We start from the raw sequence: 27835 nt of genomic DNA on the forward strand, positions 1-27835 counted from the left end.
TTTAATATAATAATTTACTGCCCACTCCACCTGGGGAGCAGAATGCAGACATTATTTATGCTGAAAAGAGCTTGTGTTTATTTTCTAGCAACCAGTGACTCTCTTAGGCATCTACAAGGTTACTGGAAATGAAACGTAGTTCCAAATTTCTAAACAGGGTTTGTAAACAAACTTACCAGAGTATGTTTAAAAAGGTCTAAGCCTTGCTAAGACCAAACAAACACAGCCTATTGACTATTTACTATCTGCTGCTCGTCAGAGGACTTATACAAAGATGAAACCACCGATAACGGTATTTTTTTTTTTTTCTGTTTAGAGTATGTTAGTGCAGAACGTACACCACCGCAGCGGTTGGGGGTGGGGGAGCCCCAAACCAGTGAAATCTCAAGCTGAGCGTCTGGCTGGAGTTCAACAAGGCTCAGTGAACAGCACAGGATGGGGAAGTTCAAAGTCAGGGCGACTCTTCTGGTCTTAACTTCCTAGATTTTCCTAGATCTGGGTGCCTCTGTGTATATATTAACCTTCATGCATTTTTGCCCCCAGCAATTGTGTACAGTCAGCTCCAAAGGCACAGCTTGTGTGCTAACGTGCAAAGCGAAGTCAAAACCCTGTGCTTGGCGCTCCCTTCTAACTTTCTGGCTTGTCCAAGTCTAAATATTGACATCGCTCCTCAGTTGAGATGTTTGATACTGCTGGGGATGGAAACGGTGCAGCTAACAGTAGGATCTAATGATATATTTCTACATAGTTGCCTTCCACTTCTTTTCGGGGGGCAGAGGGCTGGATTCTCCTGTCTGCACATCACCCCTTGGTTGTTTTCCCCAAAGCTGAGCACACACAGACAAGGTAAGGTGCTCTGCAAGCCCCTCATGGCAGCTCCTCCTGTTGTCACAGCAACTCACAACAGACTCCATAGACACGGGGTTGCGGGGGAGGGGAGGGGAGCGACTGTGGGCTGGCCAGTCAACTCTCAAGAGGGTGCAAGCGCCAAAGGGGCTAGCGTATTCCCCTGTCCGGGTCCTCCGGTCCCCGCCCGGCCTCCCCATACTGGCCTTCGAAGGGGAAGCGCCTTCTCGTCGGCGCGGCACCACCCCCTCCCTGGCGCAGCCAGCCTGCTAAGGGTGCCTGTTGTACATTTTCTCAGCTCCAAGTTAGGGGTGCGGCTGTGCGGGCGCTCCTAGAAATCTCTTGTGCTTGCCTCTGATGGGAGGGTCCCCGGCCTCTCAGAGAGGCGAGGGAGGCCCCCCTAGCGGCTCGGTCCCACAACTCTCTCTCGGGGCGCTGCTGGCCTCGTGGCACGGCCCAGGGCCCCCACTTGCCACCCGCTGGGGCCGGGGCGGTGGGGGCTCCGCAGCGGCTGCTCGGAGAAGTTTCATAGCATAGAGCACTCACGACACAGAACCTACCCTGAAGCCGAGCGAGACGCGAGCTCTCTCCGCCTTCAAGGGCCGGGGGGAGCGGGGGGGCCCCCGCCACTCAGCAGCAGCCACGGCTGCGCGCGGTCGCGGGTGTGCGGGGCCCCTGCGCGCGGCGCGCCGCCCGCCGCCCAACTTTGCACAAAGGCAGCATGGCACTGCCTCGCCCTGCCGCCTCGCCCGGCGCCGTGGCCGCTCTTCCCAGTCCCGGGCGAGAGGGGCTCGCCCCTTTCCACCCGCAGCCCTCCCCTTCGCCTGCCCCCACCCCGCTCCCAGGCGGGGCAGCCAGGCGGAACGGAGCACCCGGCACCTCGCTCCGCCGCCGTGGCGGCCGCCGCTCGCACTGTGACGTTAGCAGCCTTCGCGGCTATTTATATCCACACGATTGGATTTCATTCATGAAACCGGGGCCTGGTGTGTCTGTGCTCTGGGACACGGGTGGCAAAGGTTCCTCGGCTCTACGCAGACCCGACGGGCCCGGGCACGGAGGCGGATCGCCCGGGACAAACCGACACAGAGCATGGGAGACCCCGGCCCTTTCCCCGCGCTGCCGGGAGGGGAGAGTCTGGGCCATCTGTGTCCCCGTACCCCTGCCCCAACATCCCACCCACTCCCGTGCCTTTGCTGGCCCTTTGTCCCAGGCTCTGGAAAAGTAAGTTGGGCCACTAACCGGCTGGGCAGCATGGCTTTCTTCCCCCTAGGAGCTGACCGGCCGCGGACTCCGAGGGAGGACATTGGCTTTTGTTTCAAAACCGAGCCCAGCTGCTGACTAAGGGCTGCATTAGCCCAGCCTCCTCCTCCCTGGGCGGCTGCACGTGCTGGCTGGCTCCTCCACTCTGGGTTACCTTCCTCCGCGACTTGGCGGGAGGGGTCCCCCCAGGGGGCGTAGGGACGCACCGCTGACCCCGACCCGGGTACAGAGGTGATTTATAACCTCCTGCAAATGGCTGAGTGAGGAGGTGAAATTGACTGTGGCCTCCATGGGCTGTCTTGGTCTTCCAAGACAGCCCATGCCTCCTCACAGAAACTTCTCTCTCTTCCAGGCTGACCGTGAGTTCTGAGGACAGAACCAGGGGTAGTTTTCATGCATTCACATAAATGCTTATAGAGTGACAAGATGCCAGGTGCCTGGCCAAGCTCTACGGAGGTGACAGTGAAAGCAAACAACCGGGTGCCTGCCATCAGGGAGCTTTCAGTCAGCCTGCTAAAATTAGTATGCCTTATGAAACCCATCACTCCTAGCCTGTAAAGAGATCACTGGGGAATAAAGACACAACTGTGTTCAGCTACCGAGAGGAATGAATATATTCATTTAATAAACCTTTATTGAGTAGGCTGTGTGCAGAGAGCTAGGGATACAAAGATGGAAACAATGTCATTCTTGGCCTCACCGGTTCTCAGGTAATGTGTTCCTAAGATACTGAAGGACTGGGAAAAGAGAGTCCATCCTATTATAAGGGATGCTTCTTTGGCTTATCCCCCCAAAAACAGGATGCGTGAAAAAATTCTAAAAGCAAACACACTTCTTGGTCCCTCAGTTTCTTCCAGGAAACCGTCTTCAGTTTCCTGATGAATTACCCTCCAGCCAAGATTCCCAGGTGACTTCCAGTCCAGTGGATATTTCTACTCTTCCTCACTTGCTTGTATTCTCTTGAAGTCAAAGGCTTGCCTGGTGCTCTCTAAATCCCCCAGAGACCCCAGAAAATAGTGGAATCCAATGTTTTTACGAGGAAAGTTATCACCGGCAACCTCATTTGTTTAAGCCATTCCCACGGCAGTATTTTTGAAAATGGAGTTACCAAGGCCCTAGTCTTTGATATCAGAAAGAGAGGGTAGTGAAAAGTCAAGTACAGGTGTCTACTCCAAGAACACATCCAAGAGGTGGGTGATCATTTACTTGGCATAAAACTGACTTCCCGGCCCAGGCGGGTGGCTCACGCCTGTAATCCTAGCGCTTTGGGAGGCCGAGGCGCGCGGATCACGAGGTCAGGAGTTCGAAACCAGCCTGGCCAACATGGTAAAACCCCGTCTCTATTAAAAATACAAAAATTGGCTGGGCGCGGTGGCGCACGCCTGTAGTCCCAGCTACTTGGGAGACTGAGGCAGAAGAATCGCTTGAACCTGGGAGGCGGAGGTTGCAGTGAGCCGAGATCGCGCCACTGCACTCCAGCCTGGGCGACAGAGCAAGACTCCTTCTCAGAAAAAAAAAAAACAAAAAACTGACTTCCCTTAGTATTTTGCAAAATGACTCCATCTTGAAAGCCTTAAACAAAATACATTCTTTTCAGGTACAAATTTCTTGGGAAAAGTTAATTAACCCTGTTCACTCCTAGCAATCAGTCCTCTTCATTACAAGCTATTTCTCATCAAACTGCCCTGGCAGCTAAAAAATAGGGTAGAAACTCAAAAGAAATGGGAATCAACATGTATCACGGCCCTCATATGTGGGGGGGCACAGGGCTGAGTGGCTTAAAACACATTTTCTCATGTAATCCCCACAACAACTGATGAGGCAGATGCTATAATTATCCTAATTATTTTACAGACGAGGTAACAGGCATGCAGAAGTTAGTTTTCTGATGTCTTGACAGTTGCATTTGCACCTGGGGTTGTCTGTGCCAAAGTCTTATTTTATCACTGACCTGCTTTTTAACAGCCTGCTTTTCCTCAGTTTCTTCCATTTTCTCAGTTCTAAGTTAAAAAAAGTTCAGTGTCATGCTTCTCTTAAATAATAGGCAGGTGCCTATACCAGAAAGACACACAAAGACCCCACTTGTCAGGGTACCCTTCAGCTCTTGACCTCCACCCCCAGGGCACACCAAGGCTCACAGGCTTCCAAAAGATGCTCCTTCTAAAGGGGATAAAGAACAGTCAGCCATGTTGGAATTACCTAGTTGAATGCCTAAATCTGAGGGAAACTGGAAGACCTTTCAAGAAAATAAGTTGGTATCAACAGTAATTCAGATAGAGCAGAGGAAAAGTCATTGTTCTGGAAAGTGCCTCCAAACAAGGGCAGTGATCAGAGAAAGACGTTGCCACATGGTACTATGCAGCCCCAAACTTTACTTATAAAATCTCAGACTGTGGAAAAGTTGGAGAAAATGCAGCAAGTAGTACAGACCGTATTTTGCTAATAGGAAAAGAGAGAAAAGGAATCATATCAAATAACGCCTGTAATCACTGTCATGAGTTTATCTCTGCTCTTGTTATTTCCATGAAAAGATCCATTTTTGTATACTAAAATCATTGCTTGCTGATAGAATCAGTACCATTCCTTTAAGTAAACATAAAAAATGGTACCTAAATGGAATTCAAGCAACATTGTATCTTTAAACACTTTTCATGTTTCTGTTGCACAAAGGTGATTTTAAAACTTTTGACTAGTTTTTATGGCAAATATTTTATCAAAGTCATAGGATTAAAAAAAATCCCACAAGCTAGACATAGAATTGTTCCACTATCACAAAAGAATCCTCTCATACTACCTCTTCATATTTGCACCCCCAATCCCCAACCATTAATCTGTTCTCCATCTCTAGAGTTTTTTTATTGTGAGACTGTTATATTAATCGGAACATAAGTATGTGATGTTTTGAGATTGACTTTTTTTGTTTGTTTGTTTTTTTACTAAGCTTAATGCTCTTGAATTTCATCCATGGTATTGAATGTATCAATAGTTCATTCCTTATTATTGCTGAATTAAATTTTTATTGCATGGATGTATCAGAGTTTGTTTATCCATTCACCCACTGAAGGATATTTGAGTAGTTTCCAGTATTTTGCTATTAATATTATGAAAAACACTTCCGTAAACATTTGTGTATAGGTTTTGTGTGAGCATAAGTTTTTATTTCTGTGGGATGAATACTGAAGAATGCAATTGCTAGGTCATATGCTAAATAAAAAACTGCTAAACCATTTTCCAGAATGGCTGCACCGTTCACATTTCCACCAGTAATGTATGAGAGATCTCCACATCCTCACTAGCATTTGTATTATCATCATTGTTTACAAAGTTTCACTTGTTATAATAGTTGTGTAGAGACAACTCATTGTAGTGTTACTTTGCATTCCCCTAATGAATAATAATGTTGAATATATTTTCATTGGCTTTTTTTGCCACTCTTATCTCCTCTTTGCTGAAATATCTGCTCAAGTCTTTTGCCTATTTTATAATTGGATTGTCTGTCTTTTTACTGTTGAGTTTTTAAGAGTTTAAAAAAATACATTCTGGGGTGGTAGAATTCTCAAATTGCAAATTAAGTACTACCATCCCAAGGGAACTCTATTTTCAACTCAAATATATTGTTCAACATTTCTATTGCCATCAATTTTATCAAGAACATTCTTAGGTAAGAGAAGTACTTACATAAAACTCCTATAGAAAGGGTCTTTTCAGGTTTATTTTATAAGACTGCATTTCAGTGGTTGGTAAGAAACAGGGAGACCTTAGCCACGTGTAGTCGAGGCTGAGCCTTGTGACAGGTGCAGATGCCTCCTGGGGCCAATGCAGCTGGTCACAGCAGTGGCTTTGTCCAATCAGGACTAACCTAAGAAGAGAGATTCATGCTGTCCATCTCTCTGCTCTGGATGCAGCATGTGATGCTGTCATTGGCTATTTAGGAGAAATTATCCTGGATGATGAGTTCCAGGAGTTACAGAGAAATTTTGGGGACTAGTACTAACAGGGGTTTGAAGCACGAAAGAGAATAAGCTCATGTATGGCCCATTTTAAAGAATAAGTGTTTGGTAGAAAGGTATATTGGGAAACAGTTGTTGGAGTAGATTCTTGCAGTTAAGCCAGTGGCTTTAATAACACCCAACAACTTTCTGGCTTCCTAAAGAGGAAGAGGCTGGTGACATATTTATACTGCTCATGCTTATGGATTTTCTGACTTTTAAGGAAATACTTCTGGACTACACAGGAGAATAAGAAGGCTGGGCACTGGCCTTTAGCAGTGGTTTAGTGGCAGCTTCCTTGAACAAATCATTTTACATGTTAGCTTCTAGCAATGAGGTCAGTCTGGACAGCACAGGTCTAATAGGCTGTTGGGCTCCAGCTAGTGATGACAAACAGGAAAGACTGACTGTTCTGAGGCTCTTCATTAATGCTAAGTATTGATGGGTCATAAAGAAAATGACTTGACCTCCTGGGACCTCTGTTTCTCCTAAAATACCTTATTGCGTTCAGTCACTCAAGTATTCCTGCTAAAGTAGATGCTTCTCCAAGGTGCTTCTGAGTCAGACAAGTCTCAAACAAGATGATGTCCAGCCTTCCATCTAGGGTCCCTTCCCCAGCTTTCATGTCATGGATATGTCAACATCAAGGCATAACCTACCATCACTAACCCTTTCTGTCCCAAATACCACGGGCTGTCTTTGAAAGAATCTGTGTGTTCGTAGTTTTTGCACTTGGGTAAAAGTGAAAGACCCTTCAGCGTGAGTAGCCCAGCTCTGCAGGATTTTGACTACTTGGGAATTATCTCAGGTATTACTCAGACCAACTCTTCAGATCTCTAAAGCTCCTATTTTCTTCCCACTGTTCTGGGGGAAATTGGAGCAAGTTTTGGTGTAGGAATCAACTAAAAAGTGATGTCTTTTTCCTAAAAGCTACAGCTGGAAATTAACTCTTAGGTTTGCAGTCCAGTTATGACTGTTGGTATTGATGTGGTTTCCAGGTGAAGCTTTTTTTTTTTTTTTTTTTTTTTTTAAAGCATAACTTTGGAAACAAATTTATAGATAAATACTTAAGCTAACCTAATGGATCTATTCTTGGCATTTCCTATGATTACCCATTTAAAGACAGAAGCATTAGATACTGTGTACTTTTCATTGTTAGTTCTGTGAAGACAAAGTATCTTTTCCATTGCAGTTTCTATTTTACTGGGCACCAATGAAATGTAGGCTATGTACTGAAAATAGACCAAAAGGTATCCTTTTCTTATAGCATGTTACATTATTTGTGTAGGTTTACCTAAAGTCCTTTCTGTGTGGATTCATTCATTAGGTTTTCTGTTGGGGTAGGGTGAGTTTGGTAAAAATGTGATTTTGCAAATTCTGCAACTCTAACTGCAGTCTTTCTGTCAAAATTTGTCCTACCAAGATGGTGTTCCACTGGTCTAGCTCAACATGCATAAGAGGAGGTAGCAAACAGTTTTTATGGTCATCTGTCTGACTTTGTTTAGGCATGGCATAGCAGATTGGAAAACATGTATGTCACAACTCTAGAAAAGAAAAAGACAACAATTTAATGTATAATGTGTATCTTTGACATTTTAAAAAGCAAAAATATGATTTTGTACTGGAAAAAATCTACATTTGAGAGAGAAATTTATTTCATGAACTACATTCTTAATATTACAAAAGGTGTTAATGCTAGATTTCAACTTTACCTAATTAAAAATAAATTACATTTATGTGTCACAGCACATTTAAGGCTATCTTGCCTGACCACCTGTTTCATATAACTTTCTCTTTATGAAACAAGTTTAAAAAACCAAAAACGAAACAAAGATTAAAGGGATCAGAGGGTAACAGAAAGAGAAAGAAAGCGGTATTGTATTTTGGCCATCTCACTAACTAGGATGTAATTCTGTGCTACTTCCTTAACCCACTACACCGCAAAGTTCCATATGTCAAATGGGGACAAGAATAATAACTTTCCAAAAAGTCCTTAAGGTGACTAAATGAAATGATGTTTGTGGAAAATGTTTTGTAAGATGTAAAGCTCTATACCTACTCATAAGTGTAAAAACGGGCTCATTATGAGGCCCCTTAAACAATGCTGTGCAGCATAGGGTATCATTTGATTTAGGAGTGCCAAAGATTAATAATATAGCAACTGTATCATTCCCCCAATTCCTCCCTCCCCAAATGCTGACTGTAAGTATTATACATAAAAGCTTCCACCAAATTGTATGAGGTAGAAAGTTTAGTATTTGAAGTTTGAATGTTTTGCTCTGCCGTTGACTTGCAACTGCTGTGTCTTCTCCCATCTGTACAAGTTAGCTAAACTACATGCAGAAACTAGGAAAATAAGTGGACTACAAATACATACACAAACACCCTACTTCAGAAAAATAATTTCCCCTATGTTCATATCACATTTTCCTGCATACCAAGCATCTGTAATATACATGTCATTTAATCTAACCCTGATCTTCTGACTATGTGGATGCAAAGCTTTTGAAGTAATTTAGTGTATAGTACACTAACTTGTATATAGATACCACTTCAAAAGGAATACAAGTGCTTTAGAAACACCAGTGTCCTGGAAGGAGACCTACCCATCAGTTCTTGGAAAGAAGCTGAATTGTGAGGCTTTCCTTAATTGGCACCACCACTCCTTTCATAATGGTTCCTAATCTAAAAGCAAAGATGACCTCACTTCTTGCGCCTGACTCAATAATATCCTTCTCTCTGCACACAATTTCAGAGTATCCTTAGCTCTGTAAATATTTATGCCTACTTTAATACTTCACATGACCTAAATTTATCATTTGGTAAACTCCCCCTTTATGGTCAAGTAGTTAACTGCATCACATGTGGGTGACATAAGCCATTAAACACTTCAGGGTCAGCATCGAAGGTGCACAATCACTTAGCTTGTAAACATAAGCCGATGATTCCAGGGATCAGAGGCTAAGGCTCACATCCTGTCACGGTATCCATCTTAGAAGAGCTTGAAGATTTGGTGAGAGGCACGGAAGCTTCATGCTTCTCCATCCCCATGGTGCTTTGAATGGCACTTTGGGCAGGAAAGTGCCCAATGGTTGTTAATAATGGTAAATGGTTGTTAATAATGGTAAATGGTTGTTAATAATGGTAAATGATTTGGGAGGCCAAGGCGGGCAGATTGCCTGAGGTCAGGAGTTTGAGACCAGCCTGGTCAACATGATGAAACCCCGTCTCTACTAAAAATACAAAAAATTAGCCGGGCATGCTGGCAGGCACCTGTAATCCCAGTTACTCAGGAGGCTGAGGCAGGAGAATTGCTTGAACCCAGGAGGTGGAGGTTGCAGTGAGCTGAGATCATGACACTGCACTCCAGCCTGGACAACAGAGCGAGACTCTGTCACAGCCCCCCACCCCCCCAAAAAAGAACGGTACATGATAAAACTTTTATAAGATGAGTTAGTTATAATTTCTTTTAATCACTCATATATAAAGGCCAGCTATATGATTTATGCAAAGCTGGAATTTTAAAGCTGGAATTTTAAAACTGTCTTTTATGGTGTTATCTGTTCTACTGTGATCACTGTCAACACTGATCACCCATGAAAAGGCACTTTGAGATCATAAAAAAATGTTTCACAAAGATTACAGTGTCATAAACAAGTATGGGACTAGTGCACATGATAATAATAAACACCAAGATCACCACCTGTCTTTTTAAGCTGTAATAATACTAATTAGCACTTAGTAAGTACCCACTATGTGTTGGGCATGAAGCCAAATGCTTTTATACTCACTTTCATTAACTCCTCACAATGACTTAATGAAGGAGGCACCACTATTATCCCCATTTTATAGATGAGGAAGCCGAGGATCAAAAAGAGCAAGTCACTTGCCACAGGTCAAATACTTAGAAAGTATTATTCATCTTAAAGTAGGTACTACTGACAGAGAAAGATTCTACTTTCATATAATTAGCATTTCATATTTACCCTTCCCTATTCATTCAAAGTATTGCTGATTACAATGCATGACATCATCCTATATACTTGAAAGACTAATGGGCTACAGCTCATCTTAAATTCTGATATTAAACTCAGGTAAACTACCTTAGTATTTTATATATCCAAAGTTTCATGTAGATTAAAGGTTGAGTAGAGTTGAAGAGAACTGATCTCTATGACGTGACAACTTCAGGATTCTCGGGGTCCTTGACAAACAGCCAATACTTGTGGATCAGGTGTCGATGAGCGATATGCCCTCACAACCACAAATTCAAAGAAAACACAATTTGTGGGAAAACACACAACGCAAGCTTTAGTTCATTCCTTGGGATTTCCTTAACAAATTAAACTATTGCTCCACTTCCTGATGAAACAAGCAGGATACTACAGTGATTGTACCTTGTGCCAGCAAGGTCAGGTTGATGAGATAAAATGGGAAAGTCATGCGGAAAAACACACAGCCCATTTCAACAGATGGAGTTATTATAAAATTTCATTTAAATATATGGACAACATGGGTAAGGTTAGCCTCCTCGTGAGTGTATCGTTTGTTCTCAACTATTCAAGTAGAGAATAAAGATTTCTCAATGTTTAAGTATCCATATCTATCCAGTGGGGGAATAAGCTATACATACAAGACCCCATTAGTTCTAAAGTGAGGCTTCTTTCTTCTTAATTCTTAGCCAGTCCCATATCCTTGCTGAAGGCCCGGCTTCTCTCATGCCTTTCTCTGAAGTTACATGGCACCTGAAGAAACAGTGGCATTTGTGTGGAATGAATACCAAATGAGACACTCCTAGGAAACAAAAAGTAGTACCTAAGCGACTTTTGTCTTAACAGTTTTCAATACCTCAATCCGAACAATTCCTCTTTTTAATAACAGAGGTGATATGCCATGTACTGTGAAGATAAGGAGTTCTGTTTTCTATTGAAAGAAATCTATCACACCTGTTGTTTTTATAAGCATTATCATTTACACTGTAATTACAGTATACAGTATACTGTTATTACAGTGATAACAGAATAGTCTAGTGTCATAACAGTATCTTGTTTATACTGTAATATTTCTGGGCTTGATGTTTCTTCTCGATAAAACAGTTGAGGTGGCTAATGATGAAAAAAAAAGCATATATATCCTGAACAATAGTTTATAAATAGAAACACAAAGACACATGAAAAACCCTTTGAAATTCACTTTCAGTTTATACTCTTTCTTACTACACATTAATGAGGGACTGAGATATTGGGAGATGGTAAAATGTCCTGTTAAAAGAAACATTAAGTTATATAAAGTGTAATTTTAAGCTTTAAATTTACTTTAACTCTATTCCATGTTATTGTGGTTTAATCAATTAAAGCGGTAAACTTGGCTAATTATAACCACTACCTTTTTTAAAAGTGTATGTGTGTGTGTGTTTGTGTGTAGTTTTATTTATTTATTTGGCTCTACAAATACAATGAACATTAGCCTGGTGAGAATATAGACCATTGGCTTGAAAGTAGAAAACGCCTCAAGCCTGGCAGTTATCAGCTCCTGTGGGAGAATTTCCTTGGGCAAGTCAAGTCACTTCTCTGAGTCCAGTTTCCTCCTCTGTAAAATGAAAGTGCTCTGAGTGGAGTAAAAGAGTTTATGACAGACCAGAGTACCAGGGTTATTACACTCTTCATGTTGAAATTATTATAAAAATACAGAAGATATAGCAGTCTCAAAAAGGCTTTACACTTTTATTTTGGAAATACTTAAAAACATATTCAATGAGCACTGAATGAATTCTTTCCATGTTCTTTTTATTAAATTAAACTGACAGTTTTATTATTTACTCACTGATTGCTATCATTTGGCTTGGGTTTAGGGTTGCCAGATAAAATAGAGGACACCCCATTACATTCAAATATCCCATGCAATATTTGGCACATACCTGTACCAAGAGATTATTCAGTTTGTTTAAAATTCAAGTGTCAGTGGTGTCGCGTATTCTTATTTGATAAATCTGGAAACCTACTTGAAAAAATGGATGAGAAAGAGGAGAAAAATTGGATGGAAGGAAATGTGACAAAATTATTTTTGAAATTACCCAAAAAGTGAATTTAATAAATAAAAGGAGATAAGTTGGTCAAGTAACATTTCCCAAAGTGTGTTCTGTTGTACCAGCCCTGAGTGAAACTATTAAAAAAAGGGAAATAGTCTTTTATTATTTAACATAAATGGTCAAGTTTCGGAAATAGTTCATATTTTATCCTCCTCTTAAAGAAAATTATAATTTCTAATAAGGGTTCTCAGGGCATTTATATGTGAAAGTAAATTATGCATTTATAAGAGGGAAATAGTCCACTTTGAGCTACCCATACTTATTTGACAAGGGGAATCTTTTCTTTTCTTTCTTTCTTTTTTTTTTTTTTTTTTTAAGATGTAGTCTTGTTCTGTTGCCCAGGCTGGAATGCAGTGGTGCCATCTCTGCTTACTGCAACCTCCACTTCCTGGGTTCAAGCGATCCTCCTGCTTCAGCCTCCTAAGTAGCTGGGATTACAGGCGTGCACCACCACTTCCAGCTAATTTTTGTATTTTTAGTAGATGGGGTTTCACCATGTTGGCAAGGCTGGTCTTGAACTCCTGATCTCGTGATCCGCCTGCTTCGGCCTCCCAAAGTGCTGGGATTACAGGCATGAACCACCACACCCAGCCAGCAAGGGGAACCTTCTTTATGGTTTTAAAATGCCACAATTCAATTCATGTGTTAACTGAACACACTTTGTGAACATCAGAGTAAATAACAAAAAAATGCTGTACAGACATGGATCAATCATGCACAGCAATATAACAAGAATGCTTCCTTCTGATTGAGCAGGGTAATTATTCAAGGAGTATCTGTCCTGAGCTATCCCAAACCACAGAGAGTTGCTAGCTATCATTACAAAGCACAAATACTTCCATTTGAATTGCCAGACTATTGTGTACCAGCAATGCTGATTATAAAACAGAGTAATTAGGGTAGCAGAGAGGCAGCTGACTCAGTGTAAGAAAGCCTTCCCTTAGTCTAAATTTGTGGTCTACAATGTGTCAGTTACAGATACTCAGAAGGGTCCAGAGTTTGAATGCAAGGGAAACAGGAACCCATATGTGCATCAAACTTGTTTACAGCTTGAAAAACCAACATATCACTATCTTGAAAACTAAGGATGTGCTATCACGATTGATGAAGTATTTTTCATTTAAATATTTTGTTACATTTATAACAACTTTTAATTATTAATTTTCTCACTCAACACATTGAACTACTATCATGTGGTATTCTGCAAAAATATCACAGTGGGCCTCATTTGTTAATAGTCTGGTAATACAGTCATGCATCCCTTAACAACAGGGATAGATTCTGAGAAACATGTCCTTAGGCAATTTCATCGTTGTGCAAACATCATACAGTGTGCTTACACAAACCTAGATGGCATAGCCTACTACACACCTAGGCTATATGGTATAGCCCGTTGTTTCTAGGCTGCAAACCTGTACAGCATGTTACTGGATTGAATCCTGTAGGCAATTGTAACACAATGATCAGTATTTGTGTATCTAAACACAGAAAAGGTACAGTAAAAATATGAATAAAAGACTAAAAAAATGGTATGCCTGTATAGGGCATTTACTAGGAATGGAACATGCAGGACTGGAAGTTGTTCTGGGTGAGTCAGTGAGTAAATAGTGGGTGAATGTGAAGGCCTAGGACATTACTACACATTCCTGTAGACTTTATAAACACTGTACTCTCAGGCTACACTATATTCATAAGATAATATTTTTCTTTCTTCATTAATAAATTAATCTTAGGTTACTATAACTTTTTTATTTTGTAAGCTTAATTTTTAAAAACCTTTTGGCTATTTTATAATAACATTTGGCTTAAAATACAAACACATTTAGCTGTACAAAAATATCTTCTTTATATCCTTATTGTATAAGTTTTATTATTTTTAAAAGTGTTTTATTTTCATGTTTTTACTTTTTAGACTTTTTTTTTTTTGTTAAAATCTAGGACACAAACACACACATTAGCCTAGGCTTACACAGGGTCAGGATCATCAATATCACTGTCTTTCACCTCCACATTTTGTCCCACTGGAAAATGTTATTATCAAACAGTAATTAGGGTAGCAGAGAGGCAGCTGACTCAGTATTAGAAAGCATTCCCTCCATCTAAATTTGTGGTCTACAATGTGTCAGTTACAGATACTCAGAAGGGTCCAGAGTTTGAATGCAAGGGAAACAGGAACCCATATGTGCATCAAACTTGTTTACAGCTTGAAAAACCAACATATCGCTGTCTTGAACACTAAGAATGTGCTATCATGATTGATGAAGTATTTTTCACTTAAACATTTTGCTATATTTATAACAATTTTGTCTTCTGGGGCAATAACATATATGGAGCTGTCCTCTCCTATGATAACAATACCTTCTTCTGGAATACCTCCTGAAAGACCAGCCTAAGGCTGTTTGACACTTAACTTAAAATATATACAAACAGGAGTACGTTCTAAAATAATGACAAAAAGGATAGTCAACACATAACCAGTAATAGAGTCCCTTGTTATCCTTATCAAATACTATGTGCTGTACCTAATTGTATTAATATGTTCTATACTTTTATATGACCGTCAGCTTTGTACATTTGTTTACAGCAGCAGCATCATAGAATGTGAGTAATGTGTGGTGTTCAGATGGCTGTAATGTCACTAGGCAATAAGAATTTTTCAGCTCCATTATAATGTTATGGGACCGCTGTCGTATGTGCTGTTCACAGTTGACTGAAATGTCATTATATGGTGCAGGACTGTAGTCTTCTGAGGGACTTAAATGGTTCCCAGATTGGTGCAGTGGTGCAGCCACCACCAAGCCTTACGGTCAATACAAATTCCCCTCTTCTCCCATCCTCAAAACCAACCAATCTGAATCAAATGCTAAAATGATATTGAAAGTGCTAAAAAGCAGATCCAAGTGAGTAAGTAGTGGTAAAAGAAAAAAAAAAGGTTTTTGGATAACTTGGAAATTTAATAACCTGCTTCTGAATAACTGAAAGAGATTCATAACTTGTCCAATGGTAATGATATTTATTGAATGCTCACTCCATAGCTGACACACTGTTCAGTGCTTTTCCCACTGTATCTCCTTTACCATTCCCACTGTACGGACAGGAAAGCTGAGGTATGGGAGGTTAAGTCACTTGTGCAATACCACATCCCTAGAAAGGGGAGTTCAAGGATTAAAACTGAAAGTCTAAATGAAACTCAAATTCACAACCATAATACAATATTACTGAAAAGTGGAATGACTTACTGTGAGCAGACACCACTTGTGAGTGTCTGCCAGAACAGATACAGACCCCACAGTTAATCTCATTAAAAAGCCAGTAATTGGGTCCTCGGGACATGTGGTGAAAAGACTCAGTACACAAAACAGCCAACGTCAAACTAAAGGAGGTAGAAAAGTCAAGCACCTCTAAAGGAAAGAAATCATAAGGAACTTGAGGTGAACCCATTTTTATATGCATAAGGTTGAAGCCTGAAAAAATTTAGTTTTGAGCACAGCATGTTACAAAGAACACTAATGGGATTCTAAATTTTCTGAAAATATGTCCAATATAAAAATGTTAAACTCTCATTTCTTTAGAAGCCCAAACTTCTGAGCCAACCGTCTTGCAAAAGGAACTTGACAGATTTTAGTTTTTAAGAGGTTTGGGATCTTAATATTGCACAGGTCAGAGAAGTTAAAATTTTACTTTTTTATTTGAAGAGTAGGAATAAATGGATCTATAGGGCAAAACTTGGAATTGAAACACTATATAGATATGGATTTCCAAAACATTTTTTTTCAGGAGAATCTCACAAAATATCAACCATCAACCACATCTTCAACACAGAAGACAGAGTAGAAGCTTTTTGGGTTTATGTTGTTGTTTTGTTTGTTTGTTCAAAAAGGGGTCTCACTCGGTTGCCCATGCTGGAGTACAGAGGCATGATCACAGTTCACTGCCTTGACTGCCTAGGAAGAGGTGATCCTCCTACCTGAGTCTCCTGAGTAGCTGGGATTACAGGTGTGCACCACCATGCCCAGTAAATTTTTGTATTTTTAGTAGCAATGAGATTTTGCCATGTTGTGCAGGCTGGTCTCCAAATCCTCAGCTCAAGTGATCCTCCTGCCTAGGACTCCCAAAGTGCTGGGATTACAGGTGTGAGGCACCGCACCTGGCCCAGAGTAGGATATTTAAATAAAAAGACTTCATTTTTGTAATTAATATAGTGGCATCTTCATTTTGGTAAACTATTACTTTGGTGGTCTCCAGTGAGCCCTGCCTCCCAGTATATACAAACAATAGTACATCAGGACTAAGTGGTCAGGAATGCAAAGTTGCCTCAACGTTCAAAAATCAGTCATAAATCACCACATTAGTAAAATAGAAAACCATATGTTCAAGAGATACAAATAAGCAACTGGTAAAATGTAACACCCATCTGTGACTAAAAAAATACAAAACAAACTCTTATCTGAGTGTTTAAAGCAAGGGAAAGACATGGCCACATATTTGCTGCTTAGACTGAAAGGTTCTTTATGAAACAGTCACAGTTCTTGCTCTTGGAAAACGGACCTACAGTATGGCACTCTCAGGAAAAAGTTTCCAGGGATGTAGGAGAAAGCAAAATCCAGATATCTAACTCCACCATTTGAGGAACAATGCCAAATACTGATTGCCAAGTGAGCAATAGATTTACTCCAGATCACTTTAAAAGCTACGTGGACAAGAAAGGACTCAGACACACAGTCCATTAAAAATGTGATTGCTCTACACATCACAGGCAGCAGTGCTAGTGGATGTTGCTCACATGTCTCTGAGCCTGGCTGCTATTGGCTGAAACAAAAATGAAACAAACAAACAAACAAATAGCTGAACTTCTCAGTCCTACAGTGATGGCTCTGGCAATAAAACTAACAGGCAGGAGTCAGAAAACCTGAGTGCTAGTTTTGTCTCTGCCACTTTCCAGTTATGTGTACTTTGGAAAGACACTTTATCTCTCTGGGCCTGTTTCTGCAACTAAAAAATAACTAGATGGGACTTGGAATGAATCAGAACTGAGTAAATCCTGGCTCTATTCTTTACCATCTAAGTGATCTGTGCCTCAGTTTCCACCTCTGTATAATGGGAAAGAAACCTCAAAGTGTTTCTTTGAAGATTAAATACAATTATGTAAATGGAGCACTTAACATATTCACTGCACATATTAAACACACAATAAAGGCAGATGTATTAATGTTAAGATTGAGCTATTAAGCTCTAAAATGCCATAATAATAAACAGTAGGCTGGAAATACTAATTTGTTCTGACATGGAGATTGGTAGGTGTTGTAGAAAGCTTTGAAATTCTGTGTATCCTGCCTATCATCACAGGTGGTACTGTAAGAAGCTTTATAATTTTAGCAGAGAGGAAAACAGAAGGGTAGACATTCTTGTATGATTTAATCTTGGTAATGTACCAATGATTTCATTACCATGTGCAAAAAACTATGATGACATTTCTTATACTCTGTTAAGTACTAAGTGAAAAATCTAATTAAATGATGCTTCCATAGAATTTCCATAGAATGTAATTAATGTGACAACCAGAACCCCCTATTGATTATGCTGGCGAATTTAATCAAATAGTATGTTTACGTAAGTAACACAACAGAGTCTGACGTCTAGTCAGACATGTGGATCTTGCCAGTTGTAAATAAACTACTCACACAAACAAAATGGCCCCTTAGAGAACTAGAAATTTAATAATCTGTATTTGTAACATAATATATTGTACCAAATAAATGACTGTTTTGTCTGAAAGTCATATTCATACTATCTGTCTGAGAGTTTGAACTATTTGGTTGGATGGAATATTAATACTGGAAATATTCTTGAGTGGGGTTTAAGTTATATTCCTCTTGGATCATGTCCCCACCATACATCTGATGCTTTCTTATTTATGGGAGATCATAATCCAAGTCGTAAAGAACTTGAAATGATTACAATTAGATTGCATTTTCTGTAGCCTCTTGGGCTGCCCTGGCAGCTACCCCTAATGGCCTGCACCCTTTGATGTCAGTGGGTGCTGCCTCTTGGCAGCTACCTTGTTGCTTACCACTGCTAATATCCATGAGCTTGTTATTACCACTTCAGGAAGATTTTTTTGTCACCATCATGTCCACAGAGCTGACAGCAGGATTGTGGTCATTGTCAAACTCTCCCCTTCTAAAGCTCTTCTTTATCTTTTCATTGACTTGGGGTTCGTGGGGGTGGAGGGTGGTTAAGTATGGGGATTCACTAACTCTATCTGTACTGTACTCAGAGAGTCAACTGTGCTTTACCCAGCCCCTCTTTTTCTTCTAGCCCTTCAACCAACCAAAGGAAAGGGGTGTGGGGCTGTCATTCTCAAAGGACCCTGGGGCTTCCCAGGTGACTTCAGTTGGTCTTCTGTTGATGTTCAAGAGGCACTGTGGCATGCCATGCAAATTACACTCAAAATAGAGCTCACAAAAATGTCCTTGTGAACATATAGGAAACCTTGTATTCAGGAAGAACATACTATGAGATGACACAGTATGCCTAGAGCTGGACACATCTGGATTAGAACCCTGGCTCCACTGCTTACTAGCGGTACAATTCTGGATGTATTATGTGACCTTGCTGAAGCTCTGCTTTCTCCTCTCCAAAAGGGGGGCAAATAACACCGGTGCATTAAGTATACTGCCATTCACACAATAATAACACCATTGTGAATATTTTACATGAACATATAAGTAGGCTGCCTTGTACAATAAAATGAATACAATGATGTAGTAAATACAGCCTCATAAGAATGTCACATGGATCTAGATTCAGAATGAAAGCTTGTCTGAGAACCAGCTTAACAATTTTCAAACTATGTGACCTTGAGAAGCTCCCCCATCCTCTCAAATTCTTAGAGATGGGGGGACTTAACCATACCCACCTAGGATTAGCATGAAGTTCAAATGCATTGCTGTATATATGAAAGTGCTTTCACAAGCTATACATTCTAAGGAAGATAAGTTATTTTTCTATGAATATATTATTGCAATGCTATTAATGCAGTGGTGATTTATAACCTTTTTTTGTTTTTTTTTTTTTTTGAGACAGAGTTTCCCTCTATCACCCAGGCTGGAGTGTAATGGGATGATCTTGGCTCACTGCAACCTCCGCTCCTGGGTTCAAATGATTCTCCTGCTCCAGCCTCCTGAGTAGCTGGGATTATAGGCATGCACTACCACGCCTGGATAATTTTTGTATTTTTAATAGAGATGGAGTTTCACCATGTTGGCCAGGCTGGTCTCAAACTCCTGACCTGAATTGATCCGCCGGCCTCGGCCTCTTAAAATGCTAGGATTACAGGCCTAAGCCACTGTGCCTGGCCCATTTATAATGGCTTTTTTTTTGTACCTGAGATCCAATGATAGGATCGTTGTAAGTGGAAATTTTCATAATGAGCCACAAATTAGAAAATGTCTATGCATTATAAAGTTTATATGCAGCTAGCAGTCTGTAATTCTTTGTTGGAACTAAAATTAAAATAATCTGGTTGTCTGTGACCACCAATATAACTCTTCCCAACAGAAAAAGAGATACTTACCTACAATAGATAATATATCAAAATATGCCCAATGACTGATAAATACAAGTGCGCAGACATGACAGGGGAGGAAGAATGATCATTTAACAGTAACCATTTACAGGTTTGTCTCAAATTGCAAATGCAAAATAAAGTCGAAAGTATTTATAAAGTCCAAATTGGATCTTATGTATAAAGTATGCTCTTTATACAAAATAATATTTGTTGCTTTTTAGGGAAATTTCCATACTTCAGGAAGAAGCAAATTATATAGTATTTTTTTCTGTATAAAATAATTTTCTAGGTCTTTATCCTAATTTTGTTTTCCTCTAAAGAAGTTTTCCATTTAAGAAGTATTTAAAGCTTCTGTCCTTCGGTAAAGTCTTAAAACAATTTACCATGATCTTGGAAAAAACTGCTGGCCCAGTCAATTTTGGGGAAGTAGAAATAGTTTTTTAAAATGTTCTGATTTCTGGTCCCATCGTAACAATTTTGTCTTCTTTCTGAGTCAGTCCTGGTTTCCTAAGCATAACCTGTACACTGACAATACTGTGATTTTACTACTTTAACTCTTCAAAGCAATGCCACTTAAAATATCTACCAGTTTCAATGTATGCCATTCCTAATCTAGAGTTAGAATATCATAAATAATCCCCAGCCATGTTGTTAGGACTGAAAATCTATTTTCTAACATCTAAATAGTCTTGATTGTAATACAGACCACGGCTACAGATGTGATGGCAGAATTCTTCCAAGAAGTATTGCAAATATGTATAATTTGCAACCAAAGCAATCTTCATAAACAAGTGATCACATAAACAAACCACACCATTTGGTTTGACCAAAAGTTATGGCAGGAATGTTCTCAAAGCCACTCATTGCTGTATGGGTAGGCAATTTTCATTGCCCTCCGCTCCATACAGAGACCCAAATGGCTCAGCAAGTATTGACTGAATTATAATTTTGATGTCATCAATCTTTTTCTTTGCATACTTGAGGTTTGTATCTTGCTCCCAATTTCAGACGATGAAAGTGAATTTAATCAGCAAATATTCTGACTACAATAAAAGAGATCCTGAAAGATAAATTCTCAGGTATTAGAAGAGGCTTTTAGGGCAACCCTGCAAAAAGGCTCCTTTGAAAGTTGCACCCTTTGCATAAAAATGTTTCTCAGAAGAATAAAATATTTAGACAGCAACATTACAACAGAAAGCCTCTGCCTTAGAAAAATGCATATTCAGGCTCTCCCTTTGTCTATCTAGGAAGCTTCCTGTGGTTAGTCATCACCTTTAAAACATGAGGTCATGTGTTCCATTGGAACAGGAAAAATATTTCAGATCTGTGGTCCTCCAAAAGATATCCAAAGCATTTGTAAAAGGAGTAATGGTTTTTGTGTTATGTTGCTACTAAAATTCACAAGTTGGATACCTTCCTGTGTCATCCTTCCTTATACCTGTATCAAGTAATTTAGTATCACTTTCCAAATTACAAGTTCCCTGAAATATTTTCTTTGTTCCACACATTACCAACGATAGCATCTAATAATGGTTCTTAGACTATTAGGTAACTCCTCAGTGAATAAATGATTGGGTGAGTAGTCATTCAGTAATACTTAAGGATTGTTTCAAAATGAATTTCCAACTGAAGGGAAAAAACCTTGATTTGTTTGCCTTGACACATCTTGTCACCTTTCCCCACTGTCTCACAACATTCTCTACCCCCAAATTCATGAAAAATGCACAAAAAAGACCTACCAACCTTGGTGCATGTGTTAAGGCAGGCAATACATGCAAACATAAAATATAATCTTAGCAAAATGAGATTTTTCTTTTCCATCTTTGTAAAAATATAACGCATGCAACGTTATTTTCTAATATGTAGTGGTTTTGCTCGTTAGGTACTTAGGAATAAACATGTTACTGCCAATTTGCTCACAGAAGACAGATTTGTGAGGTGAATTAGCAAAGAGGCTGGAGAGAAGGTTGGCGCCAGAGAGGATACAACTGATTATAAACGCTCTCCTGGGTTTTGGGCCACCACTGCCCTCTAGGGGACACATGGAAAATAAGCAAAGTCTCTCAAGCCAAAAATTTGAGACCTTGGGAAATCATCTCATCCAATCAACTTGTATTAAGGAAGACAATTTTAAAATTACAATTACTTCAAGGATTGCTGTATAACCCTTAAAAACTTTACATTGCATGCTTTTCTAAGGCCACCTGCTTTGGAGTCACTCTTGCCAGATAAAAATTTCTTTATTATGTCTATCCTAATTTTCCTGCAGCATTTTAAACACGTCATTTCTTGTTCTATTAGAAAACAGCTGCTTACTATGACTAATGTGTTAGTCATTGTTTAGACTTTCAGCTTTTCATTTTCAATGCCCCAGAAACCAGAAACTCCAGCTCTTTTAGTCTTTCTTAATGAAGTTAGTTTGTATAGAGAAAAATATGCGAAAATTTCCAAACTGTTACTTATTTCTGGGAAGAGAAGCTTCAATAATTTCAAGTGGAGAGCAAAGATCAACTTGTGATTTTTACAGGGTGGATTAAACTTCAACCTTCTTTATAAAAATTAGGGATAATATCTAATGTAATCCTACCTTATAGGCAGAAATTAATCTGCTCTTTCATTCCTAAAGTCTTAAGGAAGAATTTAAATTAGTAATACTAAAACAAAGTCTCTGGAAATAAACCCTCTGCCTTTGGGAGAGAATTTCACAACTTTAGGGTGATAGGAAGAGTGAGTTACTTATAAGGCATCTATTTGTTCAACCATTTAACATTCGTTGAGTATGCCATTACTTATCAGATAGTATGTTAGGGGTTGTACATATACAAAGAAACTTACCATTCAGTAGAGAAGACAAATATTATAGCAGCATATTTTGCCATGTATTAAATTTAATTGTATTCAATAAGTATTGTTGAAATGCTTAGGTTTTATATATATTATATACTAAACTCCTAGTACCTTGAGAATAGAGCATTTATTTTGCTCATCTCTGTATCACTAGACTCTTGGATGACTTAGTTTTTTAAAGTCTCATAATAGTCCTTTAAGTGGACTATTATTAAGTCCTCAGTTTATAGATGAAAAAAATGCTTTGGCAATTTATAAGCTAGCATGTAGTAGATTTAAACTCAAGTGTGTTTGTATTGTTGGTATCATGATTCTTCCCTATTTGTGTGCCTAGCATGGTGCCTGGCATGTAGTAGGTGTTCAATACATATTTGTAAGAGAATTAATTGGTGTGCCTTTTGTGAGTAATGTGCTCTTTGATTCTAAGGTAGTATTTCAAGTGCCTCCATGTTTGACACAAAATAGGTCTTCAAAAATTAATAACTGAATGAATGAATGAATGAATGAATACAGGTTTCTTGGCAATTCTTCAGGATTTTTCCATTACCTTAATTCTCATGGTCTATCCGTAGTTGGGGAATAAAGTCATAAGACTAAATGAGACAAGTGTTTTTATGATGGTAACCTCTAACCATCCATCCTAGAATTCATTTTCTGCTAACCTCAGGACATCTGATAGGACATTGTCTTGCCTTGTTGGCAATTTCATTGTTCGAAAATTTGAGGAAATAAAGGGAGGAACTGATATTTAAAAAAAAAATCAAATTCTAACTCATCGGGGGAAGTGGTTGGCCATGCAGAAATAACAGGAATCTTACAGACAATAAATATATAATTTTAAAAACTGTGATGGGGATAGGTCTGAAAAAATCAGACAAATATGGCAAATTTATGAGAACAGATTTTTTTAAAGTTTGAAGAACAGACTAGAAGAATTCTATAGCATAAGAATTTGAAAGGAATAATGTCTTGAAAAGATTGAGATGTTTGCAAAAATTCTAAACATACCAAAAAACTTTTAATATTAGTTTTCTCTGATGTTAGGATTATGAGTAATTTCTTTTCAAGTTTATCTGTCTATATTTTTAGCTGTCTACAAAGTGACTTTTCAGGTTATCAAAGCAATTCTGATTATATTCGAAAAAAAAAAAAGCAAAAGTTACTTTAAAATAGCAAGTTCTACCATGTAGTTGCACATAATTCTGAAGTGAAAGACAGTTGGAGGCCAGGGGTGGTAGCTCACCCCTGTAATCCCAGCGCTTTGGGAGGCCAAGGTGGGAGGATCACTTGAGACCAGGAGTTTGAGATCAGCTTGGGCAACATAGCCAGACCCTATCTCTAATTAAAAAAAAAAAAAGTTGGAAACTATAATGAAGAAACCACTACAGTGGTTATTATGTGATCTTCTTTCTAGTTTCTGTGTAGCTCTGCTTTACATAATCTTTAAACCATCTATTTTGCTTCATTAATTGAGCACACATTTATTGAGAAACTTCTTTTTTTTTTGGTTCTTTTTTTTTAATCTTTATTTTTTTTACTATACTTTAAGTTCTAGGGTACATGTGCACAACGTGCAGGTTTGTTACATATGTATACATGTGTCATGTTGGTGTGCTGCACCCATTAACTCGTCATTTACATTAGGTACATCTCCTAATGCTATCCCTCCCCCCTCCCCCCACCCCACAACAGGCCCCAGTGTGTGATGTTCCCCTTCCTGTGTCCAAGTGTTCTATTAAGAAACTTCTATATAGCAGCACTGCGCCAGGCACTGGGGATACAAGTGTAAGCACGACAAAGTTCTTGGGGAGAAATATTATAAATAAACAAGGCACATCTTTAATTCCAGTTAACAATGGTGCTTTTGGGAAAAATAAAGCAGGGTGGGGGTGAGGGAGCGATGCAGTATGGTTGTTTCGGACACCGCAGTCAGGGTTTGAGGAGGCACTGACTCTAGGTCGGAGACCTGAACGGTATGCATTGGCCCTGTGAAAATCCAGGTAAAGAGTAGTAGTCCGGGCAAGGGAATAGCAAGTAAAAAGGAAAATTCTCAAATGATCTAAGACCAATTAGAAAAAAAAAATATAGCAGAATACATTTAGGTTTTTCTTTGTTTGCCTGTTTTTTTTTTTTTTTTTTTCTTTTTTAGACAGAGTCTCACTCTGTTGCCCAGGCTGGAGTGCAATGGCCCTGTCTTGGCTCACCGCAATCTCCACCTCCTGGGTTCAAGCGATTCTTGCACCTCAGCCTCCAAAGTAGCTGGGATTACAGGTGTGAGCCAGTGTGTCCAGTCTTTGTTTGCTTTTCAGGTTCAAGGAACACATTGTTCCCTCAAAAAACAGACCGGCAGCTGAGAGAGGATGGCAATCCTGATGGATGAGAAAAAGAACAGAGCTGTAAGATTTTTTTCTTTTTGTTGTTTATGTCAAGGAGAGAATGATGTTTGGAAGGGAAACGATAGACTACTATTGCAGAGAGGGAAGAGAAGATGAATAAAGAGAGGGTAAGAGGACACTTTGCATTCTAAATGCCTTCAGGGGTGAGAGCTGTGTCCCTGTTTATCCATTTCTTTATTCCTTAGAAATGATTGCAACCCCAGGGCAAAGAGACAATGCTGGTGTTTCTATATTTTGATTAATCCAAATAAATTACCAGAATTTTATTGAAATGTGAGATTTGGTCATATTACCCTTTCATTTGTGTTCAGAAGTTGTTCCACTCAAAATGTCCCTGTTCTGGCTTAAATTTACTTAAGATGACTAGGAAGGGAGAAGTTCCATTATGCTGGTAGAAAAGGGGTCTGGTCCTAGGAGAATTTAGCGCTGGAGGGAAAGAAGGGAGCAGAGGGACTGCAGTCCTAGGACAGAGGGACTGAATTGGAAACCTCCCCACAACCCCACTTCTCTGAACCCTGTTCTGCCTTCCTCTTGTTTTCTTCAGTGCCCCATGCTTTTCTCTCCTACCTCTTCACCAGCCAATTCAAATGTAGCTCCATCTGCACCTCTACAGGAAAACTGGTGCTCAATGTGTCTCTGGAGAAATGTAAATTATCTTTCTGGAAACCCAGAGAATGTCATTTAAAACCACAGAAAGATGACATGGAAGGGTGGTAAGTGGGCGTGGCATGTGGTCAGGTGTAGGAGTGTTCCTTTGTTCAATTCAAAATTCAAATGTAGTGTGTAAATGAATTTTGTTTCCAGACATATGTAATTCCTAGTTCAATGTTTTAAAACAGGAGTATGAGCACCAAAATAACAAGTTTTTAGTGTTTTGATTCTTAAAAATAGCAGGATATCTCTTATGTTGCAGACACAGAGCTGGGTGCTAGGGACAATGAGTAAGCTGAGGTCCCTGCTATCAATGAAACCTACTGAGCCCTTGCTGACCATCTTTGAGGAGCTGCAGAAAGCAGGAGAGGTGTACACAAGCAAAGGATTGTTGAATGTGGATCTGATTTTCAAAATGGGGAGGGAGATAGTTTCTCAAAACCTACATATAAGTAAGCCTCAAATAAACCATTTTGAGACTGACAGCCGGGCACCAAATGATTCACTAAGGAACAGATCTTGTAGACAAACATCATTTCCTTTCCCTGAAAGAGTTACTAGGTTAACCAATGGTGGTTATTAAGGTATCTGGATTTCTACAGGATGTTCGCCAAGGCATCACATGGCATCCTTGGGGCTAAGATGAAAAAATATGAGCGAGACATCAGGGGTGTTGGCAGTTTGTTGAATGGTCACAGCTAGAGATGGCAATGGATGGCAGTCTAGAAGGACATTTCTAATGCTGATGCCCGTGTTCTTGTTATTGTCAATATTTTTTAAAAATCAGGTATTTGAATAAATAGAAAGTATAAGTATGCTAGTTAAATTTACAGCTGATGCAAAGTTAGGATTTCACTTACTGAGTAAGTGAGATGACAGAATTAGAATACAGTCTACATTCCAAATGAAAATAAAATTGAAGTTGAGATGGAACAAATTTAATGAGGTAACATTAATGGAAATAGATGTGAGGTCTCCTATGGAGGTCCAAAACAAACAAAAAACCTAAACCCAACTGTGCAGATACAGGGTGCGGCACATATGACTTGGCTTAGATATTTGAGAAGCACTTAGGAATTTCAGGTGTCACTCTGATATAGCAGCCACAAAAGCAACTTTGGTGTTAAGAGAAAGACAGTGCTTAGAATGAGCTGTTGCTAATTGTGCTTTATCCTGTTTTTGCAATACCCTGGGTTTGTAAAACATTAAAAATCAGAGTATGTTCAGGGGAAAGTGAGTAGGGTGTTGAAGGAAGGAAAACAGAAGAAATAGTGAAGTGTTGGAAAGGAGCTTGTCAGGGCATCAAAGAGGAAGTCAACAGTTCATTAGCCCCAAAGGTTACATCTGGGACCAGTAAAGGGAATTTATAGAGAGACAGATTATGGCTCAATTAGGATTTTCTATCAATCAGAACAGCCTGAATTTGGAAGGTCAAGAGAGTCCTATTGTCTGTGTGTTTTAGCATCACTTCAGTTGTCAGAAGAGTTTAGGATCATCATCTATGACCTTTGAAGTCACCTTCAATCTTGAGAGTCTTCAGTTCTAGAGTTGTTTACTAGGCATTTATTACATCATAATATGACTTAGCTTTTTGGATCACTTTTAGGCTATGCTTTTAGTATTTAAAGAAATAGAATAATAATACCTTGGATGATAATGGAATATAAGGCTTATAATCCCTTCCTCCATTCTCAGGTGGACACCTGAGAGAAGACTATAGGACTTCAAACATCAACCCATTTCAGTTCTGATGTCAGCAAGGAGAGAACTGGCAAACTGGGCCAACCGTTTGATTGACACATAGAAGGCCAACTGGGTAAAATCATTACTCAAAGACTGTATTTCCAGTGCACTCTCCAGTTGTATCTGGTCAGGGCATCATCCAATGCTGTGGATGAAGCTTGCTGTCATTTAGCAAAATGTCATAGTGATCACTGATTGTTTGCCTGTAATAGTTAATAGCAACCTTTCTGTCAATGCTATAATTAAAAAAATTGGTTATTTGTGGTTACAAGTCTATTCCAATTTTGCTTATTATATTAAAAATGTTTCCTAATTTTGAGTACAGTGGGGCTTAGGTGATTTGAGTGGTAGTCACAGCTTATATTCAGCATAACTAAACCCTGCTCTCTTCAGGTATATAAACTCACTATTCCACCCAGAAGTCATGTATTTATTCAAGAGACAG

The 27835-nt window shown here is 39.5% G+C and overlaps 1 protein-coding gene and 2 long non-coding RNA genes across 56 annotated transcripts in view, besides 3 other annotated features; 2 read left to right on the forward strand and 1 right to left on the reverse strand.

Annotated features, from left to right (window-relative positions):
• The window catches only part of RHOBTB1 (Rho related BTB domain containing 1), a 141108-nt gene that overhangs the window by 81705 nt on the left and 31568 nt on the right, over positions 1-27835 (reverse strand). For 21 of the 54 annotated variants that reach the window (XR_007062022.1, XR_007062020.1, XM_047426080.1 and 18 more), the window contains exon 1: positions 1407-1621. The exons of 20 other annotated variants lie outside the window; for them this stretch is intronic. The gene's annotated coding sequence lies outside the window, so the exon portion shown is untranslated. Of the gene's footprint in view, positions 1-1402; positions 1622-2085; positions 2163-27835 lie in introns of those variants that run through there. 13 more of the 54 variants (XM_047426098.1, XM_047426095.1, XM_047426087.1 and 10 more) reach the window with 2 other exon arrangements.
• On the forward strand, positions 325-27450 carry LOC124902431 (uncharacterized). The gene is made up of 3 exons (XR_007062151.1): positions 325-846; positions 24910-24996; positions 27343-27450. It is a non-coding gene; the product is annotated as an uncharacterized LOC124902431 (long non-coding RNA).
• Positions 1335-1514: a silencer, noted in NCBI's record as "silent region_2390". NCBI's record gives its function as "represses an Ori minimal core promoter by ATAC-STARR-seq in GM12878 lymphoblastoid cells {active_cell/tissue: GM12878}" and the evidence as "EXISTENCE:reporter gene assay evidence [ECO:0000049][PMID:35858748]".
• Positions 1545-1874: a silencer, noted in NCBI's record as "silent region_2391". NCBI's record gives its function as "represses an Ori minimal core promoter by ATAC-STARR-seq in GM12878 lymphoblastoid cells {active_cell/tissue: GM12878}" and the evidence as "EXISTENCE:reporter gene assay evidence [ECO:0000049][PMID:35858748]".
• Positions 1810-2702, forward strand: LOC107984236 (uncharacterized). Its single transcript, NR_160732.1, has 2 exons — positions 1810-2067; positions 2459-2702. It is a non-coding gene; the product is annotated as an uncharacterized LOC107984236 (long non-coding RNA).
• Positions 25567-25861: a silencer, noted in NCBI's record as "tiled region #5027; K562 Repressive DNase matched - State 8:EnhW". NCBI's record gives its function as "represses a minimal TATA promoter and a strong SV40 promoter by Sharpr-MPRA in K562 cells {active_cell/tissue: K562}" and the evidence as "EXISTENCE:reporter gene assay evidence [ECO:0000049][PMID:27701403]".

This window comes from Homo sapiens, chromosome 10 (assembly GCF_000001405.40).
Source record: "Homo sapiens chromosome 10, GRCh38.p14 Primary Assembly".
Taxonomy (NCBI): Eukaryota; Metazoa; Chordata; class Mammalia; order Primates; family Hominidae; genus Homo; species Homo sapiens.